Raw genomic sequence first — 17431 nt, forward strand, 5'->3', positions numbered from 1 at the left:
TCACTCTAGAGAGAAAGTGTGCATGTGTTGTGGGAGGATGTGAGTGTGTGGTATAGCCCACACATAATTTGCCCTTCATGGGCCCTGCAAAATATGGCCTGTGATATGGATTAGTTCTAAAATCATTGATACTAGTCCTGTCTCCCTTCAGCAGGAAAAGAATATTTAGCCAAAATAGTTAGTTTATGTTTTAAAAAAATATTTCCTACACAAGAAATCTTTCCCCTTCCCAATCCCTTCCCCTCTCCCAGATTCCCAAGTCTAGACTTAGCTATCAAATCCAACTTTTGCCACCATGGGTACGCACCAGGCAGTGAGGGAAAAGGAGCAACTGAACCTCTCCCCACACAGCAAGTGAGCCACCTGGGTCATAACTGCATGATGACTGGTCTCCAAAAATGGCAATATGCCTCCATCAAATAAAGGAGCACTCAGGTGGCCCTTTCTCTTCAGACTTCAGAGACTAGCATTCACAGGGGAGGGAGGCACACATCTAATCAGCTAATAGACTCACTTTCAGAGGCTCTCCTTATGCCTTGACAAGGAATTTACATTTTTAATGTGTTGCCATTTCTACTTTTTTAATTTTTAAGTTCTGGAATACCTGTACAGGATGTGCAGGTTAGTTACATAGGTAAACATGTGCCATGGTGGTTTGCTGCACCTATTAATCCATTACCTAGATATTAAGCCCAGTATGCATTAGCTACTCTTCCTGGTGTTCCCCTTCCCCCAACCCCACCCCCTGAGAGGCCCCAGTGTGTGTTGTTCCCCTCCCTGTGTCCATGTGTTCTCATTGCTCACCTCCCACTTATAAGTGAGAACACGCGGTGTTTGGTTTTCTGTTTCTGCATTGGTTTGCTGAGGATAATAGCCTCCAGCTCCATTAGCTCCAGTCTCTTTTCTTGATCACCAACCCTTATGAGGCAAGCATCCATGGCACCTCACTTATCAGAAAATTAAAACAGCCCAAGAATTTGTGTTCCTCGGCCATTCTAGTCTGGTTCACGGTTCTTTATAGATCACTGCTAATGTCCAAGCCAATGGGCTAGGCTTTGTAGGGGAGGCCAAGATGTAGGAAATACATTCTGCTTCCCTAAGAGTTCACAGACTCCTTGGGGAGGTAAGTTTCATATATGACGTAATTAGTAAATAACAAAAAGACCCGTGTGATTAAAACATTAAAACGTGAAGCCATTGAGGTTCAGGGAAACAAATATTTCACTATCTCCACTATACTCCATTACCAAGGCATAAAAGTAGATTAGAATTTCTTGAAATATTTTCAGCGACAAATGAAATAATAAAAATTCTCTTTTCCTAGCCTATAAGCAGAAAAGTCAAATAATCATATCATGTTGGTACCTCATCATTCTGTTTACTTGATGGAGCAAAAAAAATATCAACAAAGCCACAATTTCTCTATGAATCCGAGTATGTTTGGTTCCCACTTTGCTTTCTTTATTAACTCAGAATGCTTTTTTTAAAAGAAAGAATGTTATACACCTGTTGTATTTTAGCCCTTTAAATGTATCTGACAAGTCCATGTCAGCTGTTAGGCAGTTAGGAGAAACCATAAAAAAGCAACCCTCCCAGGACATCTCCGGGCTCCCTTTAGCCTGCCAGTGACAGTCATCCCACTCACTGGTTCACCAGTTCTGCTCCTCTTCCAGTCTCTTTGATGCCAAATCTTGGTGCTGCATCTATCAGGTTCCTTGGATTGGCCATATCACCCTTTCAGAGCACACCATCCCAGGAAAGACCCTTGCTTGCCTTGCTCCACCCAATACTCGCCCAGAAAACACAGCACTGCAAGACCCAAGGGTGATGGTTAGGGTCTAAGGGTCATCATAAGGGCCAAAGGTGTGAAAGTAAAAGACAACATTTGGAACTTTTTGATGCCAGGGTAGTATATATTGTAAAACATCTGTTTACCTGCATACAGCCCTCTCCCCCAACCCCAGTGACTGAGCTCTTCATGGTATGAGGCAAGGACTTTCTTAGCTCCTCATTCTAGCACAATGCTGGGAAAAATAACACACAAGTGGTTGCCTAATTAATTAATTAATCCATGCTCCAAGGTTAATTTACTCCCCCAAACAAAACTTTCATTTATTCCATGGTCTCGACTAGAGTTGAGAAGGAAAACAATCTAATTGAATTAATTCACTCAAAGGCATAAATTATTTAAAAAAAATACATCGTCCTGAAGTAGGACAATGGTATTTTTAAAAATCTCCCCAGGAGGTTTGCATGAGTAGACTGGGTTGAGAACTACTGGCATAGAAAGTCCTGTGTGTTCTCGCCCTGCTTCTCTCTTCTGTTGCTTCTGCCGTCATCCACTCCATGCCTGCATGTGTCTGACTGTGCTACAATAGATGCACAGCTTGCCCTCCCACACCCCCACACCTCTCCACCATACTTGGAGAAATCAGAAGTAAGGGACCATATTACTGTCTCCCCAAGATTTTCCCATCACTATTCATATTTGCCTCCTGAATTATTTTTTCCTTAGAAATAGATGTCAGAAATTATGTTTCATTTGGAACAAGAGTTAAATCATCAGAGGAAAATACCATCTCTCCATAAGGAAACTACATCAGTAATACCTGGCAATCATGGGAAATTTGATTAGACTAAATGAGAAGAAAATACAAAGATGTAGCAGCTCATCTCAGTGGTAAATAGATTTTGTTGGTGTTGATTTTCTTTATCTTTGGGGTGAAACCCATTTTCTAACTACAGAAAAAGATTTATCCTAGTTGCCAGAGCTGTGAAAGGGCGTCATAATATCCAACACCTTTCCCCATTGCATCCTCAACCTATAGCATGAAATAGCCACACAATTTGGTAATGACTTAGGAGGTGCTGATGGTAGAGCTTAGAGTTCCATTCTGATGGATTCAAGTCTGACTCATCCTGCTGGATTTCAGTAATAGCAGAGGAGGTCTCAGTGACCAAATAGAGTGAGCTCAGGCAGTTTTCAAGTACATAAAAATGGATCTTGATCATGAAATCATCATAATTGTATTTTCTGATGATGGAGCTGCTGTACCCATGACTCCATCTGAAATATTTAGGGCTTATTCATTTCAGATGATCCTGAAGCAGCCCCTCCACATACATGCATTTTCCAAGCAATATTGATGTGGTAGGGGAAAAAGAGTTAGGGGTATTTATTAGGATTAATTAATACACGAGAGGAAAGAGATAGATGTGATTAAACTAACTTCCCAGGTTCATCATAAATATTTTATTCATTTATGTGACTCTGCAATTCTATTTTTGTCCCTTAGAAAATAGCCCTAGATGTGAGGACTTGAAACTTCCTATGAGTGAAAACAGGGTACAAGGATTCTTACAGCCAGGGCTGCGGCTGGAGACATGCAAAGAGGGGGCTATCTTTAGTCAGAAGATATGACACTTCCAAGGAAGGTAAGAAGGTCACACCATCACTGCATGCCTTGGGCCAACTCTGGCTCTCTGAAGACAACATAAGGTAAGAAAGGGGCATCAAAATGTTTCTATGTATCAAATGCATAGTTTACAGTAATATTTATGAAAACTCTCTTTTCAACTTCCTTCCAATCCCAAATATACTCCAGCAGCACACTCTTTAACTCCTCCCTAGAAAACTCTTCATCACCCAGCCGGAGCCTTGCTTTCTTCCTTTACTTCAGGGGCAGGGTGGGGGATTCTGGTAGAGACCATATCACTGTGCCCATTGAGGTAGAGATCCTCTTGAGTTCTGGGGAAAGGGGAATGTCTGTGAACATGCAGGTCTCATGAATTTTATCCCATCATACACTCATAATGTACCCTTGTATTTTAGATATTTTCCTGTTTTCTTAAATAAATTATAGATTACTTAAGGCAAGAACTATGTTGTATTAACCTTTAGTGCAATGTAGGTTTTCAATAATGGTTTGTGAAATGAAAGAATTAAAATATGTACAAATAAAAGTCAAAGATTAAAATTTGTATTTCATTAATTCTGCCTGCAAATACACACACTACACCCTCAATTCATATTTTCTGATGATGATAAAATAGGAAGGCAAACCAATCCGAGTGAGGAGGCAAAGACCTGTGCGCTGTTCACAGAGGACTCACTGGTATTTTCTGCCTCTGCCACCCTTGCTTTCCCGTGCTGCCTTCAGTCCAAGCCAGTGGTGTCCTTCAGGGCAAGCCAATGGTGCTGATGCAAGGTCATGGAATTTATGACAGGCAACTAGCTTCCTAGAGCATCTTCAGCTGAAACCAATGGTCCAGAAGGGTGTCTCTCAGCTGATGAATTTCCAAACAGTAGGAATTTCATCAATTTTCAAAACAGCATAACACTAAGGGTCTCAGGGGTTATTTATTTCACTCTAAGTCACCAAACATTCCTTTCTAAAGGATCTCCAGCAAGTACTGATGAGTTCTCACTACCCACAAAACATCCCAAGATTCTGCCACACAACTCTACATATTGTATAGTATTCCCTTGAGTTCTACCAAATCATTCACCATGAAATTTCTATCCAATAGTTCTAGTGCTGTTCTCTGGGGTTACACAGAAGCCTAACAGTCCCGACTGTTCTGTGACTCTTTTCTCATCGCTTCCATCAATTCATCATGGCATATTCTGATGCTTCTCATTGTCAAGAATTGCGAACATCTAAGATTTCACCCTGTTTTCAAGCTAACAAGTCAGCCTTTTCATTTCATAGATGCTGGCCAAAGACACGAGACTCCTGGGTCAAAGAAAAAGGTCTTTGTTACTCATGGCACAGAAAGAAGCATGAGCTTCATGTTTGCATCAGTTCTTCTTGCTCTCCAAATCCCAAAGTAGGCAAGGTGGAGGTAGGCCAAGGTAAATTCTGTGAATCCAGTGAGTTTATGACACAGCTGAGGAAACCTGAGCTCAAGAGACCCCCAATATTATAAGGGAGCTGCTAGAAAGCTTGCCCATCATTTTCCAAGAGGGAGACATCATCTTTATTATCCTGGTCATGAAACAAATCTGCCATTTTCTCCTAGAGTGATACTCTGTCCCCATCTTCAAAAGCTGTTGCAGATATATTATATCTTTGAAAAGCTGGTCCACAACAAAGCAATGCCTCTTGTTCAAAAGATGAGCACAAATGCAGGAGACGCCTGGAGAATTGTCTCCCAACATGTGTCTTCTTGATTTCCTTGACTCCTTTTCATACACCCAAGTTGAACAATGTATTTCTGTGCCACCCAGAGCTGAGTGTCACTTTCTAGATGGGCTTGACCAGTGCAGAGGACAGAAGGACTGTCCCTTCCAAGGTCTGAACATGCACCTTTACTAATGCAGTCAACAATTACATTGTTGATTTTGGGACTCCATGGCTTTCACTGGGACTGAAAATGTTTCATTAGAGATGTATTACTTTGGAACTGCGGGCACAAAACCATTTCTCTGTCAAGGGAAAATGATCTAGGAAGGAAAGCACCATGTCAGGAATTATATAACTTCAGCATTGCTGTATTGGCCTGCGTGGAGGAAGCCCAGGAGGAAGGGGAGGAGACAAAAGTTCGCCCCAACCCTACAGTCTTTCAGTCAGATTGAGATTGCAGACAGCGAAACTTCTTGAGCTTCTTCCCCCTAACAGTAATTCAGCCTCTTCTCTTCTAGACTTGCACAATTGGTTATATGTGTGTGTGTGTGTGTGTGTGTGTGTGTGTGTGTGTGTGTAGTTTTTATATCTGATCTGTTCTTGTTTGTTTTTTTTTTTTTTTTTTTTTTGGAGACAGAGTCTTGCTCTGTCACCCAGGCTGGATTACAGTGGTGCGATCTCAGCTCACTGCAACCTCCGCCTCCCAGGTTTAAGCAATTCTTCTGTCTCAGCCTCCTGAGTAACTGGGACTACAGGTGCACACTACTGCACCTGGCTAATTTTTTGAATTTTTAGTAGAGACAGGGTTTCACCATATTGGTCAGGCTGCTCTCGAACTCCTGACCTCAGGTGATCCACCCACCTCAGCCTCCCAAAGTGCTGGGATTACAGGCGTGAGCCACCGCACCCGACCAGCTGTTCTTTTAGTTATTTACAACCCATTTGGCTCCTGGGTTTGTTAAACATCATGATCCCTACACTCCAAAGAATTAATCAACTTGGTTCCACAGTTGCCTTTTTATTTTTCATTATCAACAACATCTTACAAGAAACTCATTTCAGCCACTGAAGTTTGTCATTTGAGTGCTACATACATATATATAAAGGCGTATATACACATATAAATTCACATCAGCAGACACACCAGAAATGTGCTCGCTTCTACACAACGGCACATGGTATGGACTCTTCTCCCAACACACACTCAGACGCACACCTCAGGACAACACAAAAATGGGCTCAAAGCACACAGCAGGCAGGGAGTAGTGTGTGCTAAGTACTGCCTGGTTGGAGCTGAGAACACTTGCTGGGGTCAGGCGGGGAGGGGCGCATAGCACACAGTGAAACAGGAGGAGGTGTAGCATCTCCAGGCATGTCTTAAATATCCTGGACCAGATATTGTTCTCATGGAGCCCCATGGGCAAAAGCTTCTCGAATAAGAGAGCGGGGCCAATTTGCTGAGCTTCCGTGGCAGGGCAGCACTTCAGATTAATTTGCTCTGATTGCTAACACAACACTGCAGCATAGGGCATCATCTTCTCATTTTGTAAATAAGAAAATCAAGGCCCAAATAAGGCCATATGACCATGTCATAAGGTTAGAAAGTGCCAAACCAGAGCCTGATCTGAAGGCTGTTGATCCCAGCTCACACTACCACAGGAGGCTGCTCTGATCCCAGAGAACCTCTGAGGGAACCCCCAACCTGCAACCCACACCTCAGCCTGCCCTTGCCCTACCACAGGCTGCAGCACATGTCCAGAGGAAAGCCCAGCTGTAGAGTAACACCCAGGCAAGCCCTGTAGGCTAACCGGGACACAGAGGAAGGCCGCCACCTGCTGCAGACACTCCACGCCCTTTCCCACAGTGACACCGCCGGGTTTCCGTTATCCTACCTTAGCCGGCTGGCTCCCTTTCCTACTAGGTCAGGAACACAATGTCTAATTTACTTGGCTCACTTTTCGCCAGCGACTTATCAAGAGTCAAAATTGTGTCACAAAGAGTCACTCAGGAGAGCCAGACTGAGTACAAGTCTCAGTCCCTCCATTTTCCAGTTGTGTAATTTCAAGTCTTTCTCAGCCTCTGCTTCCTCATCTGTAAAGTGGGAATAAGGGCAGAATCCACCTACTGGAGATCCTGGGCAGTTTGAATGGATTGATAATAAAACACACTTAGAGTAATACCTGGCCCACAGGGAGTACAAGATACATGCTAGTTCCTATTCATGTTAGCTCTGGGAATCCTCCACGACAAGACATGCATGGCCCCTGCCTCGCCACCACCACTGGAGCTGACGCTAAACACATAATTGGACAAATAATTCATTAGAGTGAGATGAGTGCGAAGAAAAAGGACAAAGTGCAAAGTGCAACAGAAGCGCGCACCAGAGGGTCAGAAGGAGCAGAAACCGGCCAGACCAGGGTCGGCAAACTTCATACGGCCAAGCTAGTTCTAATAAAGTCTATTGCAACACAGCCTCACCTTTTCATTCACAGATTGTCTGTGGCTGCTTTCACTCTACAACAGCAGAGTTGAGTGGGCAGGACAAAGACCTTCCAGCCCACGAAGCCAAAAATACGTTCCACCTGGCCCTTTAAGAAAGTTTGCTGACCCTTGAGCTAGAGGAAGAAGAAAGGGAGGCTGTCCACACAGATGGTGGAGGGAGGCTGGGCTGGGGTGGAAGGAACTTGGAAAATGTGAGTCCTTTGGGCATGCACTCCCTAAGAACCCGTGTCTCAAAATGCATTGACAAAGACACCTTGCTTCATCTTCTTCTCTCTGGCCTCTGAGGAAAAGGCCAACCCTCCCCTCTGCTTTCAGATCCCCTCTCCGCTAAGAACATTCCCTTCCAGGCATTCTGTCACCTGCATCTTCAGTCTCACTCTCTACTAGACCCCTTTCCTCACTGCCTCTCTCAATGACAGCCATCATCACCCTCCCCATCCACCCAGGCCAGAAACCTTGGGGACATTCCTGCCAGCTTCTCCTTCACAAGTCCCATGGCTTCCTCCCCATGACCACCCTCCTACTGCCCCATCCCCTCCACCTCCATTGCCGCTGCCTACTTCAGGCCCTCATCAGCTCATACTAGAACCATCTCCTTCTGTTCCCTCTTCCCCAACAGCCAGTCATCCTGCCTCCAGCCCCAGGCCTTCGCACCCAGCCTCCTCACTCTGCCTTCAGGGTCATCACTCTAAAATGCAAATCTAATCAAGTCACTCCCCTGCCCAAAACCCATAGGTGGCTCCCAAATGTTTATGGTTAAGAATCTGAACCTTTCAGCTCTGCATGATCTGCCCCCACCATGTCTCCAACTTTACCTCCTGCCAACTAGAATCATCTATCCTATTGTGACAATTATTTCTCTTTCTCTTCGGCCACCTAACAGCTTTGGATGCCACTCCATTTTTCACAAGTTCTTCACCTCACAAGATTTTTGGCAAGAGAACAACCACCAGATATTCATGATCCCAGCCTCTGTTGCAAGGTGCATGTTGCCTAAAGTGACCTAAGTTTCTCCAGTCAGATAAACCCAAGTCAGATTCTGAATCTGAGGCTAGAAGCATGGAGAAAGAAGCACAGCCCAGAACCCATTCTGGTGTGTGCGGAGGCGGTGATGTCAAACTCTAGGGGTATTTCCAGGGCCCAGCACTGTGGTTTCAGTGGTGAAAGCCCTGATTGCTGTGTCCAGCAAAGGCAACACTACCTCCTCTAGACTGCACAGTCTGAGGTGCAATTTTCAACATGGTTCATGCATCCATAGCACCGAGCCTGGGGCTTCTGCACTCCTAGAGATTCTGTGATCTCTCGGTATTTTAATAAATTCATATTTTTCTTCTTAATCTAGCCAAGTTAATTTCTGTTGTTTGATACTAAGAATCCTGCCTGCTATGCCTCTGAAGTCTTTTTTCATATCCTATTTCCACTTGAGAAGGAAAAACTAAGCTCTCTCTATGCCCCCACTGTGTGCACATGCACGCACGCACGCGCACACACACACACACACACACACACACACAGAGAGAGAACTGCAATACATGTATGACATTTATTTTCCTGTCTACCTTCCCCTGGATTATGAACTCGTTCATTCATTCATTTATCAAACAACATTATGTTTCTACTAAATACTAGATACTGCCCTAAGTCCTGGAAATATAGTGGAGAATAAAATAGAAAAAGTCTCTATCTTTATTGGGCTTATATTTTAGAAGGAAGAAGCTGCATTAACTTATTAATCTTCAAGCACCCACTAGAATGCTGGACACAGAGAACATACTCCACACATGTTTACTGAATGAATGGATGAATGAATGAATGATGACTTTTGTGGCCTAAGCCATTCCCTTGCCCCTCTTCAATGCAGACTAAAGGCTAAGATCCTATGATGCCCATGACTTCCACTCTGAGCTTTGCTTCCCCACCAGCACATGATTATGAAAGGGGATTGACTCCATGACATGCCCTGATCCCATTTGCCTTGTATTAAATCCCTGTAGTAAGAATAACTACCTTATCGCTTTTAAGCAGTGTGAAGTGAACACTGGCTGGTTGTGTGTTCTGGTTATTGGAGTTATCAATGACCAAGGGTTTTGATCTATTTCCTTGTGTTCTCTTTAGCCTAACTCATCCCAGGACTGGGAACATAGTAGATGTTGAATAAATTGAGATTGAACTTGACTTAGTTGTTGGATCTATGTACATATATACTCACAAACAGAGCACGTGAAGAGAGCCACAGGGTCTAATTTTTGCAGAAAAATTCAGAACAGCCTCTGATTAGTGAGTTTGTTCCATTTCCCAAGAAATCATTTTAACCTTTAAACACAGAAGGTCAGCGTCTCCTCTCTCTGCTCATGCATAATTCCCCTTGCCCTCTGCTCTTCAGTGCTGCAGCTACCTGCTGGAGAGAGAGCACTGGAGTCACCCAGAGGAAGAACACGGGTGCTCAGAGGCCCAGACCGCCTCCTTGGGATTGACGAAACCCTCAGAATATGTTGTCTCATTTGCTACATTATTAATAAAATTGCAAGAAGTTTGGGAGAAAAATTTCTCCCACCTAGAAAAATTAGCATTTATGCCACACACTGTGCAAAGTTAAGAAGATGAACAAAAGTAAAACAGAAAATGTTCCCTTTGAATCTTATTTGCAGTCAATGCCAGCAGAGGACCTGAAAGAAAGGAAAGAGTGGGATAGATCCGGTTGGGTGAGTGAGGGTTGCCAGGTGGGCACTGCGGGTGGGCCTCACATGGGGGCTGGAGGAAACCCAGCCAGCCCCAAGCATTCGAGGGTGATCACAGTTGGTGAGTGGTGGCGGTGTTGGGTGTGGTCAGTGATGGGGGTCCTACGATGGACAACAGCTCACAAGAGACAGAAAAATGCACACTGACTGACCTAAAGCCAAGGTCAGAGAGGCTGGCTTGGTAATTTCCTGAAAGCCTCAACTGGCCTGTGGGGCTGGGCCTGCTGCCAGAGGAAGTCAGGTAGGTAGAGACATCTAAGCAGGTTGTTCTAATAAATGAGACTAATTAGTCATAGGACCTAGGATCTCAGTCCTTTTGAGCAGCCATGTCAAACAGCTAATGGTATAAACACTTGCTCCTAGAAGTCTTCCCTGACTCCCCCATCTCTCACAGCACCTCATCATCCCAGTTCCCATTGCCCTGCTTTATCTTCTCCTCTCACCTCTTACTGCCAGCTCATACAGCTACTGATTTGTATGGCGTATTGTGGACTGTGGATTGGATCACATCATGATAGTAGAATACAAGCAGTATGAGGATGATGTCATGTTATTCACTGCTGTGTTCCTAGCCCCTAGCTTCTGGATCAGTGCCTGAGACCCCACACATATTTATTAAACTTGTAAGTAACTATATTCTGAACTAAAACTCCTAACTCTTTTCACTTAAACTGTTCATAGGCTAAGTAGTTTACTTGTCCCATATTTGTGCAATTATTAGCTTTTTTTTTTTTTTTTGAGAAGGAGTCTTGCTCTGCTACCAAGGCTGGAATGCAGGGATGCCATCTTGGCTCACTGCAACCTACACACCACCATGCCCAGCTAATTTTTGTGTTTTTAGTAGAGACAGGGTTTCACCATGTTGGCCAGGCTGGCCTTAAACTCCTGACCTCAAGTGATCTGCCAGCCTCGGCCTCCCAAAGTGCCGGGATTATAGGCATGAGTCACTCTACCCAGCCAATTATTAACTTTTAGCTAAGAATGCAGCATTTTATCTTTCAGGTTTTAGACCTTTTTCCAGCCTTTTGTGGTTCATACGTCTTGATTCCAACACAGTTTCAGTTTCTCTCAACATTGGTCAGTTCCCCCAAAACCAAGGCCGCATACAGTCACCCCTCTATCCAACGGGTTGACAAAGACTGAAAATGCAGAAGGAGCTTCCTGACAGGCCAGCAGATAGGTCCCTGCAGGCCTTGATTAATTGTTCCAAATCATTTGAGTTGGGAGTCCTGAAGACAGAGGCTCTCCACCCTGGAAAGCAGCTTAAAGATCAAGTGACTAGATGCCTCGATTTTACAGATGGGGTAGTGACATCTGCCATCATCCAAAGTGCAGTGATGAGTTTAGAAGCCGTGCCCAAGTGAAACAATGATTTCCAAATCCTGAAAACAGCCTGTTTGCGTTGAGTGGGAGCTTCCATAGTAACAAGCTTCCAGGGTGGTCTGGACTTCGATGGGCCAATCCAGAGCCTGAATTTGCCATCACCCACGCTGGATGGGTGGGATCCATTCACAAAGTTCGTCTCCTCTCTTTTCTCCTCCTGAATGTGGTCCATGAACAGCAGTGGGAAGCTTGGGAAGCCTGCACAGAGATTTTGTTCTCTTACTTTTTCACCCTTTCCTTTCTTCTCCCCCTTCCTGAGGTGGCCAACGCTCTCCTGATCTCTTTGTTTTCCACCCTGCTAATATTCGTAAACTTATTTCAATGGGGTGCATATGTCTGGAGGCACTGACGAGCTAGGGCCAGTGGATACTCAAAAATAAAACAGAGGTTTCTTGGCACTCAGGAAGCACAAAAACCTTTGGCTTTCAGTCACTAGTTGAGAATTTACAGAAAATGTCTCTTCAAATACCCAGAAATACAAAGGTCATGGGAAGATCCAATCATAATATGTATTGTTGAATAAATGAATGAATGAATGAATGAATGAATGAATGACTTCAGTAAATGATAAATAGTAAGTGCACATAGTACTGGAAGCTGTTGGTTTTCTCTTGGGAGACTTACTTTGGTCCAAGTGGAGACATCAGGGGAAATTCCAAACAGTGTCTCTAAGAAAAGCCAGGCGGGGAGAGTCCAACGCTGGGATGCAATTTGTACTCCAGGGCTCATGGTGGAACCAGGGAATGCTGGTGTGTGGCTGAGATCACATCCTTCCCTAGCTTTCTTCCCCCGCCCTATCCTCTCTCCCTCACTCCCCGAGAGTACTCCCTCAGTAAGTCACTTTCCTAAGAACCTCCTCCTCAAGCTCTGCTTCTAGGGACCTAAGACAACATACTTCTGCCATGTGTAGTGGAGTGTTTTGTATTTGATCTGGCCCTTTACCATCCTTTTACTTTCCTCCCACCCTACCGGTCATCTCCTGCCCCAGATTCCACATCAGCAGACTTTCCTTCTGCACACTGCTGAGGGTTAACAGCTGAGACATTCCTGGTGGCCACAATCACTCATGTATCCTAATTTGAAGATGCGCAGATGTGAACGGTCTGGAGCCACACTTGTAGACACAAGGGGAGCAGCTTTGCTTGTGAAGCCAAGAACGACACGAGAGTTTCAAAGCTGCCAAGAGGTGTCTTCAATTACATGAACAGAACCCGCTGTTGCAGTCATTAATTATGTATGGAACAGATTTGGGGAGGAGGACTAGGCAGGTGGTAAGACAAGTAACACCATGAGGCGGACAGAAAGAGGGAATTGCACATGCTTATTTTACAAGCTCATGGGGTGGTCTCCTTCCCAGAGCAGCTGGCCACTTCCCTTTCCCTTCTAGGAGGCCTGGAAGAAAGAAGGTGCTCTAGAGGCCAAGGCTTTAACGGTCTTGGCCTGCTTGGTTCTAGACTCGGAAGGACTGTGGTCTGAAATTGCTCCTGCAGCTCTGTGGCCCATGTGCAGACACCTGCTCAGTGCTACCAGAAAGTCCCCTGGCCAGCTCGTTCCTTCCTGCTCCACAAGGCGACAGCAAGCATTCTCCACTCACCAATCTCTTTTTCCCACCACCTGCTTCTTCATTCCCAGGAGATCCGTACCTCCAATGTCACATACATGTAGCAGGCAGCAAACGCAAACTCCTGAGTCCCTTGCTTACACATACACACAACACACGCAGACAACACACAACATATACACACAATACACATATAACACACATGCATGCACCACCTGAATCTCTACCCACCCTCTCCTCTGAAAAGATGGCTGAGATGGCCTCCTCTTCCCACAGCCCACTCCACTGCTTCACCTCCTCTCCCACATGTGCAACCCCTCTAGCGTGGCAGCCTCCTTCCTGGGAGTATTTTATTGTGCTAGAGTTTCACTTCTTAAAAAAAAATGAGAAGAGTCGTAATGAACAGATTACCTCACCTCCTACCTACAGAGAAAATAGAAAGCGTCAGATGGGCATTTCTCCTCTTCCCTCCCGCATGTAAACAAACCTACCTGGGCCACTCTGAGGGAAGCCATGTCCTCCTGCTTTACCTGAACAGCATCACCTGCGTTCCAGATCCACGTGTCCCCCTGCCCAAGGCAATTCACTTTTCCCTTAACTATTTCCTCTCCTGAACATTGTACTTTTTGCTCTGCCATCTCCTTTCTTTTTCCCATCTTTAAATGTGGTTTTCAGTGGTAAATCCTCAGCTCTCCTTTCTACTCATTCACTTTCCTGCCTTACTGTGTCTATGTGTCACAGCCTCTTCACTGGCATCTCCAGCCCCGATCTTGTTCCTAAGCACATCACAGGTGTTAACAAACTTCCTAATGCACAAGAGCCTGCAGCAAAACAAAACCGACCCAAAACTAAAATTCTCACAATGCTCCCCTACCCATTTGCTTTTTTTTTTTTTTTTTTGAGACAGAGTCACATTCTGTCACCCAGGCTGCAGTGCAGTGACGCAATCTTGGCTCACGGTAGCCTCAGCATCCCTGGGCTCAGGCAATCCTCCCATCTCAGCCTCCTGAGTTGCTGGAACTACAGATCACACCACCACACCCAGCTAAGTTTTGTATTTTTGTAGAAATGGGTCTTGCCATGTTGTCCAGGCTGGTCTTGAGCTCCTGGGCTCAAGTGAACTGCCTGCCTCAGCCTTTTAAAGTGCTGACATTACAGGCTTGAGCCACTGCAAACGGCCCTTAGCTCTTTATCCTTAATGTCTCATAGTAAATTAGCATTTCCAGCCAGCCAGATGCCCAAATCAGAGAGACCTAGAAAAGGTTCTTGACCCTTGACCTTTAGCTTCCTTCTTCCTTAACCAGCAAACCTCCATGCCCTATGTCTCCTAAATGTCCTTCAAATCCATCTTTTTCTCCCTCACATTCTAACACTGGAATAGTCTCTGTCCTAATATGCAGCCCACCCCACCCCCACTGCAGCCAGGTGTCTCTAAAATGCAAACTGGAAATTGCTACCCTCTCCTTAAACCCCTTCCTTGAATATCTGCCCACACTCACAGTCCTCTTCCCAGGAGAAATAGACTCAGAGAAGAGAAATTGAGCACAATACAGCAAATCCAGGGGAAAGGAAATTATCAATTCGTACATTTGTTTGTTTATTAAATTATACCTTCAAAACTTGGAGTTAGTCCTTCTGGGAGTCTCCAGGTCCAAGCACTTAGTTTCCTTGTTTATTTCCTTTATGTTTACCTCCATTTGTTATTGTTTTCTTGGATTCACTGTTTCTGTGCTTTCTTTAAAATCTGTCTTCCCTTTAAGAATACATTCCTCAAAATACTAGACACTGGGGATTCTAAAAGGGGGCAGGTGGGAGGGAGATGAGGGTTGAAAAATTACCTATTGGGCGCAATGTTTAATATTCAGGTGGTGGGTACACTAGAAGCCCAATGCCTACTACTAAGCAATATATCCATGTAACAAGCCTGCACTATGCAATATATCCATATAACAAGCCTGCACTATGCAATATATCCATATAACAAGCCTGCACTATGCAATATATCCATGTAACAAGCCTGCACATGGACCCCCTGAATCTATAAAAATAGTTTTTAAAAAGTTTTCAAAACTTTTTAAAAAGAATGCATGTTCCTCAAAGAAAAGATCCACCATTAGACTGATACGGTGTCTCAGTCAGCTAGGGCTGCTTATGTAAGATACCATGGACTGGGTGACTTAAACAACAGACATTTATCTGTTATAGTTTTAGAGCCGAGAAGTCCAAAATCAGGGTGCTGGCAGGTCCAGTGTCTGGGGAGGGCCTGCTTCTGGGTTTGCAGATGGCCATCTTCTCATTGTGTCCTCACATGGCAAAGAGCAGACAGAGAGGAGGCAAGCACTCTCATCTCTTATAAGAGCACTAATGCCATTCATGAGGTCTCCACCCTCATGACCTAACTACCTCCCAAAGGCTCCATCTCCTAATACTGTCCAGTTGAGGGTAAGGGTTTCAACATATGAATTTAGATGGGGAAGACACAAACATTTGGTCCGTAGCATAGGGTAAGCACAGCCTCTAGTACAAAGTGGGGCACATAGTCGACACCAAAGAAATATTTATGGAGTAAGAATTGAATAATTGAAGGGACAGATGAATGGCAAATTGGCACATGGTAGTTGGCATATGGCATTCTGGCCAGAGTCAGCGCTATCAACACTAGATTTTGCCATTATCTATTGTCAAACATTTACCAAGTACCTCCCATGTTCAAAGTACAGGCGGAATGGGCCGGGCACCAGGTAGACAGATGCAGAAGTTTCAATTCCTATACTCAAGTCCCTCTGGGGAGGCCTAACACTGAGGTACAAAGGACAAACTCCCAGCAGAGTATGAACAGATCTCCCCATGCCCAGGGCCTGACTAAGCCTGGGCTGTGCCCCACAGAGCTGCCCACAGGAACCAGGCGCTGAGGAAAGTTCTCACTCCTCTGCCCTATGTTTTTCCAGATCCCATACACCCATTCCATCTGCTCAGCCTTGAGCCCGTGGGAGAATGTACCATGACTAGGGTCAGAGGCTGTCCTATGCCCTTAAAGGAAAACATGAGGGTGTGCAAATGTATAAGGAGAAAAGCAGGGGAGAACAGAATTGGGTTACAAAAAAGAAATAAAGAGAAGAAAGGGGAAAGGGAAAACCACTTAAGTCAACATTGCTCATCTCTCCTCCACCTTCCCAGCCCCAGAGCCCAGCAGGGCTCACTTGGACAATGCAATGTCCTTCTCATCAAATTCCCTGCTCCCACACTCCCCAGCTGCAACCCAAGCTCCAGCCAGGGTCTGCAGGAATCTTTTAAAGCATACATCAGGTTGTGCAGATGTGTCCCTCCCCTGCTTACCATCCTCCTTGGCTTCCTCTACATTGAAAATAAATCCAAAATTCATGCTCACTCTAAAAAAATCCCTATCTGACTTGGTTTCTGCCTCTCTAGACACTCCAGCCATGCTATTCTGCTTTTTGTACCCGGAAAACACCAGGCTTGGGGCAGCTTCAGGGCCTGGACTGCTCTTTCCCCTGATCATCGCCAGGCTGGGTCCTTCCTGACACCTCCCCAATGCCTCACATGACCACCCCTTCTAAAGAAGTCACAGTGCCCACTCTATCTTACATTCCTGGGTTTAAATCCTCTGCAAAATTCTTACCACTGTTCTAATCTTTCATGACTACTTTTTTCTATATTCCCCATGTATTAATTTTCTATTGCTGCAAAACAAGTGACCACACACTCAGCAACTTAGAACAATACCCATTTACCAGGTCACAGTTCTCTAGGTTAGAGTCTGGACACAGAGTGGCTGAGTTCTTGGCTCAGGATTTCACAAGGCTGCAATCAGGGCATCAAGTGGCTATATTCTCATCTACCACTTGGGCTTCTCTTCCAAGCTCACATGGCTGTGGCAGAATTCAGTTCCTTGTGGTGGTGGGATTAAGGCTCCCATTTCCTTGGAGGCAGTCAGCCTGGGTCTGCCCTCAGCTCCTGGAGGCCACCCACATTCCCTGCCACACGGCCCCTCCAACTTCAAGGTTGGAAATGGAAGACTCTTCTCCACATCAAATCCCTCTCACACTCTGAATATCTCTCACCCAGAAAAGCTCACGCCCTCTGAAGGGATCACCTGATTA

General features: G+C 45.0%; 1 long non-coding RNA gene across 1 annotated transcript in view, besides 1 other annotated feature; it reads right to left on the reverse strand.

Annotated features, from left to right (window-relative positions):
* Window positions 1-17431, reverse strand: part of LOC107985792 (uncharacterized) — a 180825-nt gene that overhangs the window by 93473 nt on the left and 69921 nt on the right. The gene's annotated exons all lie outside the window — the stretch shown is intronic.
* Window positions 15881-16175: an enhancer, noted in NCBI's record as "tiled region #10936; HepG2 Activating DNase matched - State 8:EnhW". NCBI's record gives its function as "activates a minimal TATA promoter and a strong SV40 promoter by Sharpr-MPRA in HepG2 cells {active_cell/tissue: HepG2}" and the evidence as "EXISTENCE:reporter gene assay evidence [ECO:0000049][PMID:27701403]".

This window comes from Homo sapiens, chromosome 2 (assembly GCF_000001405.40).
Source record: "Homo sapiens chromosome 2, GRCh38.p14 Primary Assembly".
NCBI classification, from domain to species: domain Eukaryota; kingdom Metazoa; phylum Chordata; class Mammalia; order Primates; family Hominidae; genus Homo; species Homo sapiens.